General features: G+C 53.8%; 2 protein-coding genes across 8 annotated transcripts in view, besides 2 other annotated features; one reads left to right on the forward strand and one right to left on the reverse strand.

Annotated features, from left to right (window-relative positions):
- Positions 1–12,616, reverse strand: part of FAM83G (family with sequence similarity 83 member G) — a 37,328-nt gene extending 24,712 nt beyond the window's left edge. Inside the window, exons 1-2 of one of the 2 annotated variants that reach the window (XM_017024953.3) lie at positions 12,522–12,616; positions 10,020–10,669 (exon numbers count right to left, since the gene is read on the reverse strand). In XM_017024953.3, the coding sequence (XP_016880442.1) occupies positions 10,020–10,541 (522 nt within the window). In that variant the 5' untranslated portion in view covers positions 10,542–10,669; positions 12,522–12,616. Of the gene's footprint in view, positions 1–10,019; positions 10,670–11,208; positions 11,265–12,521 lie in introns of those variants that run through there. The other variant, NM_001039999.3, reaches the window with a different exon arrangement.
- Positions 1–17,413, forward strand: part of SLC5A10 (solute carrier family 5 member 10) — a 71,890-nt gene that overhangs the window by 42,825 nt on the left and 11,652 nt on the right. The window lies entirely within an intron of this gene.
- Positions 11,136–11,435: a silencer, noted in NCBI's record as "silent region_8282". NCBI's record gives its function as "represses an Ori minimal core promoter by ATAC-STARR-seq in GM12878 lymphoblastoid cells {active_cell/tissue: GM12878}" and the evidence as "EXISTENCE:reporter gene assay evidence [ECO:0000049][PMID:35858748]".
- Positions 12,956–13,250: a silencer, noted in NCBI's record as "tiled region #2479; K562 Repressive non-DNase unmatched - State 23:Low". NCBI's record gives its function as "represses a minimal TATA promoter and a strong SV40 promoter by Sharpr-MPRA in K562 cells {active_cell/tissue: K562}" and the evidence as "EXISTENCE:reporter gene assay evidence [ECO:0000049][PMID:27701403]".

Raw genomic sequence — 17,413 nt, forward strand, 5'->3', positions numbered from 1 at the left:
ATCCCTAGAGGCGGCTCAGAGAGAGGAGAGAGGCGGCCATATTCTCTCTCCTCACTATGCTCCAGGCAGGTGGAGGACAGATACCCTCAAGCCTGCCCCAGAACCTGGAGCCCTGAAGCAGCCACAGACACTGCACACACTGCAGACAAGTCCCTAGGCCTCTCTGGGCCTCACTTTCCCACCTGAGAAGTGCCGGGGGTGGACAGAGTCTCTCATCTTGGGGTTCGTTATTCTCCAGGTCTGATGGCAGATGCCCAGACAGTGGCAGTGTGGGCTCTGCACCCGCTGGCTCCGATCTCAGCTCCTCCTGGGAAGCTGCATGACCTTGGGCAAGTACCTTCATTTCCTCATGGGGATAATAACAATCCCCACCCACAAGGTTGTTGGAAATTAAAATGAATTCATGCAGGTGAAGCCCTAGCAGGGGATCCACAAACGGCAGCTGCACGGACCCTCCTCGTCCTCCCACCAACCCAAGTCCCATCCCACCAGACCCACAGCTCCCTCTGGGGTGAACAGGCCAGCAGCGTCTCACTACCCTCCGGGCCAGCTGGAAGGCTGTAAGTGACGCATCAGGGCTGCTCACAGGAATGCTGCAGACTGTCTTAAAGGTTGAGGCAGTGGCCATCATGACCTTGGATTCAACTTCCACTTACAGCCATGATGGAATAACAGAGACGGAATTCACCCCCTGCCTTAGCAATAAAAAACCCGGATAAAATCTATGAAGCCATGGACAACAGGCTTCAATCAGCACAGCGATTCCTGAGAGAAGAGGAACAAACCAGCTGAGCCCTAGGATCACCCCACTATTTCCAGGCTGCAGCACAGGGAGGGGCGCCCCCGTGGAGTCTTGTGGTCTCCCTGAGTTGAGGAGACAGGGTTCACTCTGAGTGTAGCAGCTAGGATTTGCAGGACGGAGTGCCGCAGGGGAGAGAGCTGCACAGAGTGAACTCCAGAGACCTGCAGAGGGTCCCCTGGAGTCTTCAGCTGATAGCCGAGCAGCACACGAACGTGAGGAAACTACTGAGGCTGAGCAGGGAACCACTGGAAAGGGGAGGCTGAGCAGAGAACCACCGGAAAGGGGTGGCTGGAACAATTGCTGGTGCTCACGCAGGACCGGGAATAGTGTATGTGCCCCCAGCCAGAACAGAAACCCCTCCTAACACACAGGTCCTGCAGGGGGTGTCCTCAGAAGGATACTGCCTCAGCAGTTGACAAATAAGTCCTAGACCAGGCATAAGCAAACTTCCTGAAGAACCAGAGTGTAGACATGTGAGGCTTTAAGGGCCATATGTTCTCTGTCACAACTACTCAAATCTGCTGGTGTAACACAAAAGCAGCCAAACAAAGTATATAAATAAATATCTATGTTCTATTGTTTATAAAAGCTGGCAAGAGGCTTCCTTTGGCCTGGGGTCCATAATTTGCAACTCCTACCCTGGAGTGAAGTCTGCTCTGGTCCTGCCTAATAAAGCTTGACAGGAAGCCACAAAAGCATTAAATCGTTTCCAAGTAACCTAACTGCATCCCAGAACAAGGCTCCAAAATATTTAAAGGAGAAAACAAAACAAACAAAAACTACAAACTAAAATCCAACATGCCCGGTATCCAATTAAAAATTACCAGACACACAAAGAAACAAGAAAACATGATGCACATGAGAAAAAAAAATCCATCAAAATCAACCAAAAACCGACACAGATGTTAGAACTGGCAGATAAAGACATAAAAACAGTTATAACTGTGTTCCATGTGTTCAAAAAGTTAGGTAGAGATGTGGAAGCTTTTTTTTAGCCAACAAATCGAAATTCAAGAGGTGAAAATGCAACATTTAAGACGAAAAATATACTAGGTGGAATTAACAGATTAAACACTATAGAAGAGAAAATTAGTGAACTTGAAGACATGTAAGTAGAAACTGTCCAAAATGACACACAGAAAGACTGAAAGAACATGAACACAGCATCAGCAAACTGTGGGTCAACTTCAAGCCATCCAATATATGTGTAATTGCAGTCTCAGAAGGTGGAAGGGTTGGGAGTGAGCGAGAGACTAAAAAAATAAATAAATAAGAAAAAAATGGCCAAAACACTTCTACCATTTGATTAAAGACTAAATCCAAGGCAAGGTGCAGTGGCTCATGCCTATAATCCCAGCACTTTGGGAGGCAGAGGCGGGTGGATCACTTGAGGTCAGAAGTTGGAGACCAGCCTGGCCAACATGGCAAAACCCTGTCTCTACTAAAAATACAAAAATTAGCAGGGCATAGTGGCATGTGCCTATAATCCCAGCTACTTGGGAGGCTGAGGCAGGAGAATTGCTTGAACCCAGGAGGTGGAGTTTGCAGTGAGCCAAGATTGCGCCACTGCACTCCAGCCTGGGCAACAGAGTAAGACTCTGTCTCAATTAAAAAAAAAAAAAAAAGACTAAATCCACAGGTCTCAGAAGAGACATGAAAAAACTATACCAACGCACATCATAAACAAATCACTTAAAGTCAGTAACAAAGAGAGCGTTAAAAACAACCAGAAGAGAAAAGACAACTGCATGTCAAGGAACAAAGTAAGTGGACTTCTCATCAGAATCACTGCAAGCCACAAGACAACAGGCAATATCTTTAAAGTACTAAATGGAAAAAAAAAAAAATCAACTTAGAATTTTATACCCAGTAAAAATACATTTCAAAACAAAAGGCAAACTAAAGACTTTTTCAAATATAAAAAAGCTGAGAGAATTCATTACCAGCAGACCCGCACTCCCTCCTCCAGCTGCAACCCCCTCCTCCAGCAGCACGGTTGGGACAGACGTGGCTGCAGCACCTCAGTTTTTCTATCATGACATGGTCCCACTCCCCCTCCCCTCCTCCTCCCCTCCAGGGGGCTGGCAGAATTAGTGACATGCCATCTGAAGAGGCCCAAGAAGGTTCTCTGGGTTAGGAAGTTCTCCTAGGATCCCTGGGTGGTGCTCCCTGCCACCTCCTGGCAATCTCCAAACCAGTTTGCCCATATAATGTCTCTGAAAGTCTGTCACCGAGAGGACTAGTTTAGCTAACAGTCTCATCTTGCCTCCCAGGGTAAAGGGAGTCTGTGTACTTGGTAACAAATGCTGACCCCAGCCAGAGCAAGGATAATTAGGCCAACCAGCTGGCACGCATACAGGTGTCCCTTTTCTGGAGACAGGGAGGGGTGGTGATGGCCACTCCCATTTTCCAGAGGGGGTGTCACTGTCCCAGGGCCACCCTGTCAACTAGTGGCAGAGGTCTCCTGTTCCTAGGCTTTTCTCCTAATGGGGGACCCTGTGTCCATTCCAACCTCTGAACCCACCCACAGCCTCCCAGAGGCCACCTCAGCTCTTGAAAGAAATACCTGACCATCAGCACTGTCTGGAAGGTTAATGCCTGGGCCTCCCTGGCTCTGCCATGCCTTCCCTGGGTGGCCCATGGCGGGTCACTTCCCACTCTAAGCCTCAGCTTCTCTTCTTGGTAACATGGGGAGTGAAACTGGATGAACTCTGAGGTCCCGTTCCCCTTGACATTCATCAGCTCTGTGAACACCTTCCCCACCCTCTGACTATTAAGGCTGAAGCCTCATTAAGGCCAATTAAAGGAAGATCAGGCCTTCTGAGCACCAAATGGCTGCAGTGGGTTGGGGTCAAGAAGCCCAGGCTAATCATGCCCAGAGCGCTCTGACCAGGAGGCTCAGCCTAGCCCAGTGGCATGAAGGCACTACCCTGAGTCTCCTACCTCCCCCAGACGGACATCAGCTTCCTGGTCATGGCTCAGGAATACTGCAAAGACAAGGGGCTGGCAGAGCTTGGGGAAAGGCCATGAGGTGACCAAGGCTGTTCCCTGTGGATGAGGCAAGAGGGCAAGATCCTTTCCCGCTGGCCGCAAGGAGCTTCAGAATCCTCAGAGCTTCCAGGCTTGCAGGCGCAGGATCCAGCCAACCAGACCATCCCATGTGGGCAGCAAACGGCACCAGCTGAGAATTTTCAAACAGGAAAATCTCAAAACTATAGATTCAAAAGCCTTTAAAACCTCAGCTTCTCCAGGGTCCAAGAGCGACAGACATTGGGGCCATCAAGCATCCTAATGCCCCAGAAAGCCTGGCTTGGAAAGGACTTGCCCAAGGTCACAAAGCACACCAGGGCAGGGCTGAGGCTTCTAGGCCACCTGGTGCCCACATGCTCTCTGCTGCGTTCCAGTGAGCCCCTGCTTGAACTTCTCCCAGGACAGGGAGCTCACCACTTCCACCCCAGACTACTCACAGAGAGAAGCTCTCAGGACAGGAGTGAGGAGTGAAGGTGGAGGAGGCGAGGGGAGAGATCTGGCATCTACCGATGCCAGCTCCATGCCAGACACAGAGTGTTTTACACACCACACTTTTTCCCATTTAAATCTCACTGACTTTATGAGGCAGGTGTTAGCTGTTAGCACTACCATGACACTGAGGAGGAAGGAACAGAAGGTCAGAGAGGCCAAGCAACTATCTCCAAGCAGCCACTAAAGATAACACCAGAGCTGGGGCTCATGCCTGGGTCCCAGTGATACGGAAGCCTGTCTTCCCACCACCCCACATGGCATTTAACCTGGCAAGGTACTCGAGCCCAGGGGTCATTCAGACCCTTAAAGGGGACTAGGACAGCCCAACCAGGCCAGGGCCTGCCAGGCTGGGGCCAACGTGGGCCAGGGCACAGGGTGGGACCCCATCTTCCTCCCCAGCTGCTCTCAAGGCAGAGGGTAGCTCAGTGCTTTTGGATGCTCCTGTCTATCACTGCGTCAAGACAAGGCCTGATCCCCATTTTACAAGTGAAGAAACTGAGGCCGAGGGTCCTGCAGCATGCAAGTGGCTAAGTGGGACCAGCACTCTCTGCTGGCCCAGGGGCCAGGACCCTCAGCTGCAGGGAGACCCTCTCCAGCCAGGGAGACCCAATCCAGGTCCAGCCACACCTAAGACCCTTGGTGTAACCTTATGAAGGCCCCAGCCGACTCTGAGCCTCAGTTTCCCCAGCTGTGATATGAACATGACGGCAGGCCCTGGCTCTTGGGGTTGTGGGAAGGAGGCCAGCCCAGTGGCTGAGCAGCTGCCTGTCCCACTGGAGTGCCCAGACGGGCAGGCACTCTCTCCTTAGAGCTCCTTCCTCGAAGGGCTGCTCCCGGCTCTCCTCGAAACTCTTAATTAAGGGAAGGGAGCCTTTGGAGCGCACAGGAGTTAACACCTGGGATTACTTTATCAGATGGTTCCCCACCCACTCTCTGACCTGTGGTGGGAGCCTGGGCCAGCTGTGCGCCCCACAAGGTGTCAACTGGGCCACCTGTGGCCTCTGGCAGTGTGGGGAGCTGTCCTGGCACTGCCCAGCTAAAGGATGCAATGAGTGGCCTTCCTCCTGGTCCCCAGGCCACAGAGCTCACCCTGTTCTTGTGAGTCCCCGTCCCAGCCCTCCTCCAGAGAGCCCAGTATTTAGCTGCCAAGGAGCCTCATGAAAACGCTTTTACTGCCAGGCACGGTGGCTCATGCCTGTAATCCCAGCACTTTGGGAGGCAGAGGCGGGTGGATCACAAGGTCAGGAGTTCGAGACCCACCTGACCAATACGGTGAAACCCCGTTTCTATTAAAAATACAAAAATTAGCTGGGCGTGGTGGCGCACACCTGTAATTCCAGCTACTCAGGAGGCTGAGGCAGGAGAATCGCTTGAACCCTGGAGGCGGAGGTTGCGGTGAGCAGAGATCGTGCCACTGCACTCCAGCCTGGGCGACAGAGCAAGACTTTGTCTCAAGAAGAAAAAAAAAAAAAGAAAATGCTTTTACTGTCCTGAGTCAACAGGATCCAGCAGTGAGGCTCTGGTGCTCCCATGCAGGGGTAGGGCTCAGAAGGAACAGTGCCACTGCTTCTCCAGGGAATGGGAGGGTGCTCAGGGCCTGCAGACTGGGGGTCTCGGCCCAGTCCCTCCAGATATCAGTTCTGTGACCTCAGGCCAGTTATTTGCCATCTCCGAGCCCCACCAAGCCTCAGTTTCCTCATCTGCACAATGGAGACAACACCTACTTTCCAGAGTTGTGGGGAGGATTACACAGCATGGTAAAGTGCCCGCTCAGCACCTGGCGCGGGGCTGGCATTTAGTAAGCACCTCATTAAGCTGCTTCTATTCTCTCAGAGCCAAGCTGTGGGCCAGGACTTCAGTGTGTGAAGGCGGGGGCCTGACAGAAAAAATGTGGGGTGAATCAGGCTTCGTGAAACCTGGGTTCGACTTTATTTCTCTGGGTCTGTTCCCAAGCCCTGGCCTGGCATGCAGAGATCAGTGTTCTGGCCCTGGCCACCGGCGCCTCACCTGCCCTCAGTTTCCTCAACTGTGAAATAAGGAAGGTGTGATCTGTCCCTGCCCTGGGGCCTCACCCTGGGGCTGGTGAGGGATCCTGCTAAGGCCCCCCTGCTGTGTCCTGTTGAGGGGGGCTCAGCATCTGCTGGAGGAGCAACCAGCTAGAACATCTACATCCAGCTCTGGCTGAGGAAGCCCCAACCCAGCCCAGCCTCACGCCTTCTCAGGCTGCAGCCAAGTGAGGCCGGGGCTCGCCCCTCCCAGGCGTGATCTTACAAGCCCGTCCTCTGGTATGTAGTTGGAACCCCACAGCAGGTTTTTTCCCAGATAAATCATGGCTCCTGGGGCTAGGGGAGGGGCAGGCAGTTGACCTTCCATCTTGGAGTAGGAGCCCACTAGGGCTGGAGGGAGGCTGGAGGGCACAAGCTGCTGAGAGTGAGACCTGGGACCCACCCGCCTCTTGTCCCAGGGGAGTCTAGGATCACAGGGCAGCAAGGTGTCAGGGCTGAAGGGGCCCCTAACAGTCTTCAATACCTGTTCCCATTTTACAGATGGGATGACCGGGGCTTGGAGAGGAGCTGGGGCTTGTTCCAGGTCCCACAGTCAGGCAGAGGCAGAGCACGGACTCTTGGCTCCTGGTCCTGCTGTCCACTAGTTCCATTCTAGTCATTTGGGAACAGGGGGGACTGACAGCAGTCCTGACAGGAACACAGCCGCTCCCCTAAGTGCTGCGTCACTTCCCTGCCCCAGGGTCTGCCTGTTGTGCTGACGACAGGTAAGGTGAGTGAGGAGGCGGAAGGCTGGGCTGTCCTGACTCAGCCCCAGCAGCCCCAGCCTAAAGCCCCCGGTGGGAAGGGGCCAGTGTGCGGCAAGGCGGCCCAGGCAGAGGGATCCCCATCCTAGGCAGGGGGCAGGCAGAGTTCTCCCTACACAATACCAGAGTGAGAAGGGGAGGTGGAAGCATGGGCACGAGAGGTGATTCATGGGGAGAGATAAGGCAGGGAGCGCTCCCAGGAAGCAGGCAGACAAAGCGCCCCGTCAGCATCCGTCAGTGTCCGGGCCCTGCCCCTGTGAGCCTGGGAAGCAGCTGGGGCAGGACAGCTGGAGGACTGCAGTGGCCTGGATGAGCTGCCCCTCCCAGCCCCTGCCTGTCACTCTGTCCTGCCAGGGCCAGGGCACAAGGGATAGCCTAGAGTTTGAGGGAAACACAGGCCTGGTCCCCACCCCTCTACCCGAGAACTAGCTAGGTGACCTTGGGCAGCGACTAACCAGTTTCTACATCTGAAAAATGAGACAGATAACACTAGCTGAGATTATAAAGCGCCTCGCACTCAGTCAACACTTGCTATTGTTATTATCCCTGCCCACACATGCCACACAAGCCTGGGCCACAGGTCCCAGGACAGATGTGGCAGGGAAGGAAGTGCCCAGGGCAGAAAGCAGGGGCTTGGCTCACCACAATGCTGTGGAGTCATGAACAAATCCCTGTCCTTCTCTGTGCCTCAGTATCCTTGTCTGTCAGATGAGGAGCTTAGTCTCTACTGCCTCTGAGGCCCCCACTGTGGGACCCTTGAGGACTCCCTGAGGTCTGAGAGTAGGGAGCAGTTTCAGCAGTGAGTGCCCCATCCTGAGGGCTGGAAAAGCAGAAAGCAGGGCCCACCTGTCCGAGGCTGGAGGACATCACTCACTATGGGGCCATGTAGACAGACTGGCACCCAAACTGGAGACCAGCTTCTTCCTGGCTATGTCACCTTAGACAGGTGACAGCAATCACCTTGTGGGAAGCAAAGGAAGGCAATGTCACCTTAGGTGACACTAATAACCTTGTGGGACTTTTGTGGGAAGCAAAGGAAGCTCCAGGTGGCTCATGGGACTGTACGGAGTGGCTGGGTCACAGCTGTAGCCAGAGACTCAGGGAGGAACCTGGGGTCAGCAGGTGAAGTCCTGGCCCTGGGAGCCCCTATCTGGCCCATCGCTGGGCGGGGGATCTGTCTGTCTGCAGACCCTCTGGCTGTTCCCATCTGCCTCCTTCCTGTCGCTGACAAGGAGGGGAGGCACAGAGGAGTGGGAACCTTGGCACAGCAGGTCCCCCTACCCATGGCCTCAGTTTCCCTATTTTCAAGATGGAAGTGGAGGCTGGGTAATGGGATCCCAGCAGGCTCTCTGTGGGGACTGGGTTCTCTAGCCTCCAGCCAGTCATCCCCATCAGGCACAGACATCAGCAGCACTTCCTCCACACCACAGCAGGTGTGGGGCGGGTCTCTCAGTCTGCAAACTATGAAGGTCCCTTCCTCCTCCCCCTCCTCCTCCTCTTCCTCTAACTCCTTCCTTACTTTTGTCACCCGATATTCCATCTTCACAATAGCCAAAGATGCAGCTTTTATCCACACCACCTCCATCTTATAGATCAGAAACCCGAAGCCTCAAAGCTGCCCAGGGTCAGTCAGTGAATTGAGAGCAGCCAGGCCAGGGGCCAGGCGCCCCCACCCAGCTAGCTGACCCAACTGGTCCCCTTGTTGGGCAGGGACTCCACCTTCCTGGAAACTGGGGCCAGGGCCAGGGGCCACCTCACCAGTTCTTGACCCACGTCTGGTTTCTCTGCCCACGAACTTCCCCAAGGCCCTGTCAGTTAGCCAGGATGGTCCCCGAAGCCAGCATTCTGGTCTTCTGCAATTGGCTGCCCTGCTCTGGGACTGGAAGTATAAAGGGATTAGACCCAGCTAGGAACACCTCATCCCACAACCTGAGGCCCAGACCTGGCTTCAGAATCCTTCTCAACACAGCTCACTAGGTAAGCTTTATCTATCAAATTAAGATGTGCTTGGAAACGATGAGAAGGTACTTACGTGCAGCAGGCATTAGCACCTGCTCATGGTCACAACTGTCCAGCAGTGGCCTAGCTGTCTCTGCAAATGGCAAGCACCCCTTCTCAGAATGTGTGACGGTGTGTCAGCCAAGAATGGCCCCCCACAGCTAGGGCACTGCATAGCCCAACAGGGGTGGAGAAGGGGAGGGCCAGAGAAGGCTTGAGGTCCCTTCCGGTGGCAAAATTCAGGTGGACAATGCTCAGGTGGACTCACTCCACTTCCACAGATGAGGACCACACCTCCCTCACCCAAGCATCCTGGCCTGGAAAGTTTCCACCATTGCAAAGCTCACAAAGAGGCTCAGAGAGGGTGTGCAATCTGCTCCCAGTTGCTCAGCACAGCTAGGAAACAGGCAGTGTTGAACAAGGACCTCCAGGCCAGTCTCAGATGGACTTGGACCATGCCTATTCCCTCACCCCACAACAAAAGCTCTCCCCACCAGAGAGCTCATGGTGTGTGCGCGCCTTTACAGTGAATCAGAGCCACTCTAAGGGAGAGTGAGAGGAAGCCCTGGGGTTCCTCCCCTCCCCACTCCACCCTATCTCGGTGCCTTCTTCTGGGGAACCAGAAACACCCTCCAACAATAAAGAGGCCCTTTGAGACGGGGCAGCCCACTGTCACCTGCTAGGACCTGGGAACCCTACCCTGCAAAGAAACTGCGGATCCCCACGAAGGTGGGGAGGAAACCTCCACCCAAGAGGCAGCCAGGGAAAACAGCAGAGATCCCTAGAAGCCCATGTTGGGCTCCCGTTTTGGGCTCTGAGTGAGCCTGTATTGAGAGGGGTCCGGTGGCTGGTTGGGCCATGGCTCCAGGAGTCCCCGCGCTGCCTCACCTTCTGTGCCTGGCTGATCATCTTCCGCACCACCTCTTTGATGTGGGCCTGCCCGTCTATGGGGGGCTGCATGTAGACGCTAGCCCGGGTCACGCCGCGGTAGGCGATGGTGTCGGGCCAGCCCAGGTCCAGCTGCGGGATGGAGCGGTCCGACTTCTGGGGCCAGTACTCCAGGGAGGGCAGCGGCTCGGCCTCGATGGGGACCCCATCCGCCCCGCTGGCTTCCTCGCCGTCGCCGACCCCATTGTCCTCGGGCCCCTGAGAGGGGCCCGTGCCCCGAGGGTCCTCAGAGCCCGGGTCGTACACCTCGATGGTCTCCAGGATGCGCTTGAGCTCCAGCTCCGAGAGGAAGTCTCGGATGTTCTCCCGCTTGAGCACCTCGTAGAAGGCGTCCCGGCCGCGGGCCACCAGGGCCTCCAGCGCCAGCCGCTGCTCCTCGCTGTAGAAGAACTCAGGCTTGGACTCGCTGGAGCGCCAGTTCACATGGTTGTCGTCCAGACACTGCACCTGAGAGAAGGCCATGGCGCCGCCTGCCCGGGCACTGCTGCCGGGGGTGGGTGGGCAAGGTCCAGCTCCTAGCTCCGGCCCAGCTGGGGCACCGCGCGCTCGGGGGCCTCTCCGCGGCCTCTGCTTCTCTGCCCATGAGCAATCTGCGGGAAAGACCTGATGAGCCCGGCTCGGCGGGGAGGGCGGGCCGCGCGGGGAGGGGCGGCGGGGGCGGGGCCGGGAACTCAGGTGGGCGTGGGAAGGACGGGGCTGGGGCTGGGGCTGGGAAGATGAGGTGGGGGCACTGGACTGGGATGGGAAGAAAGTAAGGGATCGGAACAGCGGTGAGGGAGCGGTGGGCCACGTCCCAGGGCTCAGCGTGCCTCTACGTGCAGGGAACCCATATCCCAGATTTCCGGAGCTGCCTGAAGTCCTCGCAACTTCTGAGGGAAACTAGGGCAGCCGGGGAACTTCCCAGTAGCTTCTTAGAGTGGGAGGCGGCCCCGGCACAGAGGCGCCCCGCAAACCGAGGGCTTCCGGGTAAGGGAGGGGTCTTAAAATTTCCGGGTGCCGGCAACCCAGGAGGCCTGCCCGGAGGAGGCTGGGGCTCTGGGAGGGGTCCAGGAGACCCAGAAACGCGGTTGCGGGGCGGCGACGCCCCGCGAGACCCGGGATCCGGGGGGCGCGGCCGGGACTTGCTTACCGAGCGGGCGCTGGCGGAGCGGGGCGCACACGCGGCGGCTGCGGCGGCGGCGCGAGGCTGGGCGGGGGCGCGCCGGTGACTCAGGGCCGCCCCGCTTACCCCGCCGCCGCCACCTGCGGTCACGTGCCGCCCGGGGCGGGGCCGGAAGCTGATTCACCCCTCGACAGACAGACAGACCTGGGGCGGACGCACTGCCCACGGTCCCCTGGTGCCCGAATTCCGAAAATATCAGAGGCCTAAGCCCAAGAGCTCCTGGAACACCCATCCCAGAGAGGGACAGTGTTCTCCCTGAGGTCACACAGCGGGTCAACAGCCTTGGCACCCCCCTGTGCCCCCAGGGTCTGTTGGTGATCCTGGATCAACCCTGGCTGTGCCCAGTTTCGCCGGCGTGGCGGGAAGTCCGTGCGGCTGTATAGATACCCAGCTGTCCAGTTGTGGAAACAGGTCTAGGGTACTGGGCTGGGAGCCCCCAGGCAGGGATAGGGCACTGACTGACCCAAACTCAGGGCTTTCCTGAGCAGATACCCAGTTCTCAGTCCTAAGCCCTGATCCCCTCTGGGAGGGGTCCCCGGACTGCTTCTGCGTGGCGGGCAGCACCCGACCTGAACCCTAGGGCAGGGAGGGGCCAAGAGGGCCGCTGTGGGCTGGGGTCAGGCCCAGCTCTCTGCTGAGCGTCCCCTGGGGTTGGGACCCTGGTTATGGGGAGCGTGGAGACCACATCTGAAGGCAGGCTTTGAGGGTGGGACAGCAAAGCCCATTAAATCTGGCCCAACAAACAGCCCCCACCCCATCGCGTGCCGCAGCCAGTCTGCCCGGCACCAGGCCCAGCCCTTCCTCCCATCCCCCATACTTGCTCTGGATCTGGATGGGGCTGGTTTGGGTCCCGTAAGGATGCTGCTTCCGTAGGCTGGTGACATCTCTAGGCCTTGTGCCCTCAAACCCCCCCCCTCCAAGGCCTTCTCCACCATTCATGGCCCATCAGGACTCCTTGCCTCTGAGTCCACTGCCCTGGGCAATGACTAGCCTCCTAGGCCCAGCATCCTTGTGGTCCCCATCACTGACCCCTCAAGCATGAAGTCCTACACTCTGCCATATAGCCCCCCAAGGGCTTTATGCTACTGAACATAGTGGCCCCTGGGGAACAGGCACACATATTTGCATCCTCCTCCTGCCCCAGGGCCAGAGAGGGGAGGTGATCCCAGCGGGGGAGCCCTGCCTTGAGGGTCCTGAAGACCCATTTATAGCCCCTCTGCTACTGTGGATCCCCTGTAAGACCTTCTCTGAGCCGCCTCAGCTTCTCCCTGTGTTCTTACCAATGCACAGAGGCTGGAGAGTTCAGGAAGGGAGTCCAAGGCCTCACTCCCACCTCCACCACCCCAACACTTCTGCAGTTGATGAGCAGGAAGGTTGTATGCACCCAGTTTTCCCCAGTAGCGACGTTTTGCATAACTATAATACAATAATATCACAGCCAGAAAATTGACACTGGTGCAATCCACAAAGCTTATTTAGATTTCACCAGTTTTTTGTTTGTTTTGGGACAGGGTCTTGCTCTGTCACCTAGGCTGGAGTGCAGTGGTATGTACAATCATTGCTCAATGCAGCCTTGAACTCCTGGGCTCAAGCCTCAGCCTCCTGAGTAGCTGGGACCAGAGACACCATGCCCAGCTAATTTTTTTTCTTTTTTCTTTTTTCTTTTTTTTTTTTTTTTGTAGAGACAAGGCCTCACTATGTTGCTCAGACTGGTCTCAAACTCCTGGCCTCAAGTGATTCTCCCACCTTGGCCTCCCGAAGTTCTGGGATTATAGGCGTGAGCCACTGCACTGGCCAGATTTCACCAGTTTTACATGCACTCATTTATGTGTGTTATACAACCTTATTATGTGTATAGATTTGTGTAACCACCATTACAGTCAAGATACAGAACTGTTCTGTCACTACAAAGATCTCCTTCTCTGTAGCCATCCCCACACCTCCCCCGACCACCATTCCTAACTTCTGGCAACCACTAATCTATTCTACAATTCAACAATTTTGCTGTTTCAAGAATGCTATATAAATGGAAGATATAGTATATAAACTTTTGGGATTGGCCTTTTTTCCCACTTAGCATAATTCTCCAGCAAGTCATCCAGGTTGTTTCATGGATCAATGGTTTGTGCTTTTCATTGCTGACTAGTATTCCATGGTATGGATATACCACAGTTTGCTTAACCATTTCAGTGATTGAAGGATATGTGGGGTTTCCAGCTTTTGATTATTACAAATAACCTTGTTATGAGCATTCATACACATATGTATATAAACATCAGGTTTCATTTCTCTGGCATAAGTGCCCAAGAGTGTTATTCCTGGGTCCTGGTAGTTGCATGTTCAAACACTGCCAAACTTTTTCCAGAGTGGCTGTACCATTTCACATTCTCACCAACAATGTATGAGTGATCCAGTTTCTCCACATCCTTGCCAACATGTGGTGTTACCGCTATTTTTTTTTTTTTTTTTGGCCATTCTGATAGGTAGATCATATCTTATTGTGGCTTAAATTTGTGCTTTCCTGATGGCTAATGTCATTGAATCTCTTTTCATGGGCTTATATGCCATCTGTTTGTCTTTTCCTTTGAAACATTTGTTCATGTCTTTTGCCCATTTTCTAAATGGATTGTCTATTTTTTAACTCTTGAGTTTTAACTTTTTTACTTTTTTGTTTTATTAGAGATAGGCTCTTGCTCTGTTATCCAGGCTGAAGTGCAGTGGCTTAATGATAGCTCACTGCAACCTCAAATTCCTGGACTCAAGCCGTCCTCCCACTTCAGCCTCCTGAGTAGCTGGGACTACAGATGTGCACCACCATGCCTGGCTAATTGTTTTTTATTTTTAGTAGAATCATGGTCTTGCTATGTTGCCCAGGCTTATACTGTTGAATTTCAAAAGTTCTTTATATATTCTAGCTACAGGACCTTTGTTGGGTGTGTGCTCTGCAAATATTTTCTCCCAGTCAGTAGCTTGCTTTTTCATCCTCTTCGAGGTGTCTTACACAGAGCTAAAGTTTTAAATGTTGATGAGGTCCAGTTTATCAATTTTTCCTTTTATGCATCATGCTTTTGGCATCAAGTCTAAGAACTATTCACTTTGTTGAAGTCAAAATGAAAATGTAGAGATGAATCTCTATATTTAACGTTTTATTTGGGAAGAAAAATTGCAATTCAGGGCATGCACAAAGACTGGGTGGTCTTTGATGTGTCTGGAGAACACAAAGAAGGTTAGAGGTTTTCTTGAAAGCAGAAATGTTACTTAGTGCTCTTTGAGAAAGTTCCTTGGCACTGGTAAGGGTTTGGGGAGCTGAAGAGTTCTGACTGGTAAGTGATGGTGGTAAGCAAAATTAGTCCTAGATCTGTAGCAAGTTATCTCAGCAGCTATAGATAAAACTGGTTGCAGGTTGTAAAAGGGAGTTTCTTTCACCAGCCAGGCTCATAGGGAATTGCATTTTTGGAATAATGTTATGTACCCTGGGTGCTTTCCCCCACTGTCCTCTTAACTCTATTTTAGTTTTGTAGACAAGAATGATCCAATGTGTATGATCAACTTTTACAGCCTAGCCTTAGGTCCTAAAGATTTTCTCCTATTATTTTCCCCAAAAGTTTGATAGTTTTTTTTAACATTTTACATTTAAATCTGTGATCTATTTTGAGTTAATTTTTGTATAAGGTGTGAAGTTTAGATTGAGGGTAGGTTTTTGGCCTATAGATGTTCTCAGAATTCTGAGTTTTTACAGAGGAGGAGACAGCCTCACAGATTTTTTTTTTTTTTTTGATACGGGGTCTTGCACTGTTGCCCAGGCTGGCGTGCAGTGTCACGATCTCAGCTCACTGCAAGCTCCGCCTCCTGGGTTCACACCATTCTCCTGCCTCAGCCTCCGGAGTAGCTGGGACTACAGGCGCCTGCCACCACGCCCTGCTAATTTTTTGTAGTTTTAATAGAGACGGGGTTTCACCGTGTTAGCCAGGATGGTATCGATCTCCTGACCTCGTGATCTGCCCGCCTCAGCCTCCCAAAGTGCTGGGATTACAGGCGTGAGCCACCGTGCCTGGCATTATTATTATTATTATTTTTTTTTTTTTTTTTGAGATAGCGTCTTGCTGTGTCTCCCAGGCTGGAGTGCAATGGCCTGATCTCGGCTCACTGCAACCTCCATCTCCCAGGTTCAGCGATTCTCGTGCCGTAGCCTCCCAAGTAGCTGGGACTACAGGTGCGTGCCACTGCACCTTGCTAATATTTGTATTTTTTGGTAGAGACAGGGCTTCACCATCTTGCCCAGGCTGGTCTCAAACTCCTGGCCTCAAGTGATTCATCCACCTCAGCCTCCCAAAGTGCTAGGATTACAGGCATGAGCCACCGTTCCTGGCCAGTCTCAGAGATCTTAATAATCACTCAAGATCTTACAGCAAGGGATTGGGAGAGCTGAGTTTGTTTTGTTGTTGTTGTTGTTTGTTTGTTTGTTTGAGACAGGGTCTTGCTCTGTCACCTCAAGGCTGGAGTGCAGCGGTGCAATCACGGTTCACTGCAGCCTGCACCTCCCATACTCAAACAATCCTCCCACCTCAGCCTCCCGAATAGCTGAGACTACAGGCACGAACCACCACGCTAATTTTAATGTTTTTGGTAGAGACATGCTTTCGCCAGGCTTTGTTGTTTAATTGAGATGGGGTCTCCCTATATTGGTCAGGTTGGTCTTGAACTCCTGGCCTCAAACAATCCTCCTGCCTCGGCCTCCCAAAGTGTTGGGATTACAGATGTAAGCCACTCTGCCTGACTGAGAACTGGATTTGTACTCAGGTCTGGGAGCCTTTCTCCTGCTCCCTCCTGCAATGGCAGTGTCTGGACTGGCTCCCGAGAATGTGCCGGGCCTGGTTAGGGAGTAGAGAGCACCTTGATTACTCCTCAAGGGACTGTGTCCAGTGACCTCCTTGGGAGGGAATCATTCACTCAGTCAACAGACACTGGCAGAAGCTACCATATGGTTGCTTGTGCTAAGCACTGTTGAGACCCAGACTTTTCCCTGAGGCCCCATAGTCATAGTCTGGGTGGGAGACAGGACAGTCAGAGGTCATAGAGTTATTGGTGCTGTGGAGGATATAGCCCCAAAGCCTGAAGGGCTCAGATGTCCATAATGAATTGAGAGGAATGAGTATAAGTTCCCTGGGATAAATCCAGGGAAGGGCAGAAGGTGGGAAGGGTGTTCCAGGGAGAAGGAACAGCAAACACAGAGACCTAGAGGTGTCCAGGAGAGCCTGGGGTGCCAGAAGTCTGGGTGAAATTAGTCAAGGAGAGGGTGGCCGAGCGAGGTGGCCATAGCAAGGGGTGTGGGAGGGCCTTAATTGGAGCCTGTGATACCCCGGCAGCGGCTGGAGAGGCACGGAGCGGGTTTGAGCAGGGAAGAGCGTGGGCGGATTGGTGGGTTTCGAAGTTCCCTTTGCTTGCTTGCAGGGGGAGTGGATTAGGAGGCACAGCAAGGAGGTAGTGCAGTTCGCCTAATAATCAAACAGGACTGGGCATTGGCCATGGGGAGGGAAGACAAGGGGACGAGGAGGGGCAACCCCTGGCTTCTGGTGTGGGCCTTGGCTGGACGGGGAGCTGATGCAAAAGTGGGGCCCAGTGGGGAGCTCCTAGGCCTGCAGAAGCCAGTACCCTGGCAAACCCATAGACCCCTGCCAGCTCCCCAGTTCTCACTGCCCCCAGCTCTGCCTCCCCGGGGCTGCTTACTCTGGAGTCCTGGGGGACTGTGTTTCAATGGTGACACCACTGCCACGGTTCTCATAAAGAAGTTCTTTCTTGCTGCTCAGCACAAACACTTGGTCAAACCAGTGGGACTCGGGGCGGTTTCCCATGCCGAGAGCCTGGAATGGGCTGAAGAAACTCACAAAGAATCTCCTGACTCGGGCTTTCTGAAACATATATGGCTGCAACGCCTCACCTGTCCCTCCCAGGAGGGCTGGGTCCTCCGAGTGCCAGTCAGCCTGCCTAGGTTCAGAGCCCATCAGCAGTGGCTCATCACCTGTCCTCTGAATCCTGGACCCCAGTGTCCTCAGAGTTCTGCCATGGGGCCCCCGGCTCTGTCTTGGATCCGACTGTGTCCCCCAGGCAAGTTATGTCCTTTCTGGTCCTGAAAAACTAATGGGGGTAGAGGTGGTAGGGTAGGGCAGCTGGA

Source organism: Homo sapiens, chromosome 17, assembly GCF_000001405.40.
Source record: "Homo sapiens chromosome 17, GRCh38.p14 Primary Assembly".
NCBI lineage: Eukaryota > Metazoa > Chordata > Mammalia > Primates > Hominidae > Homo > Homo sapiens.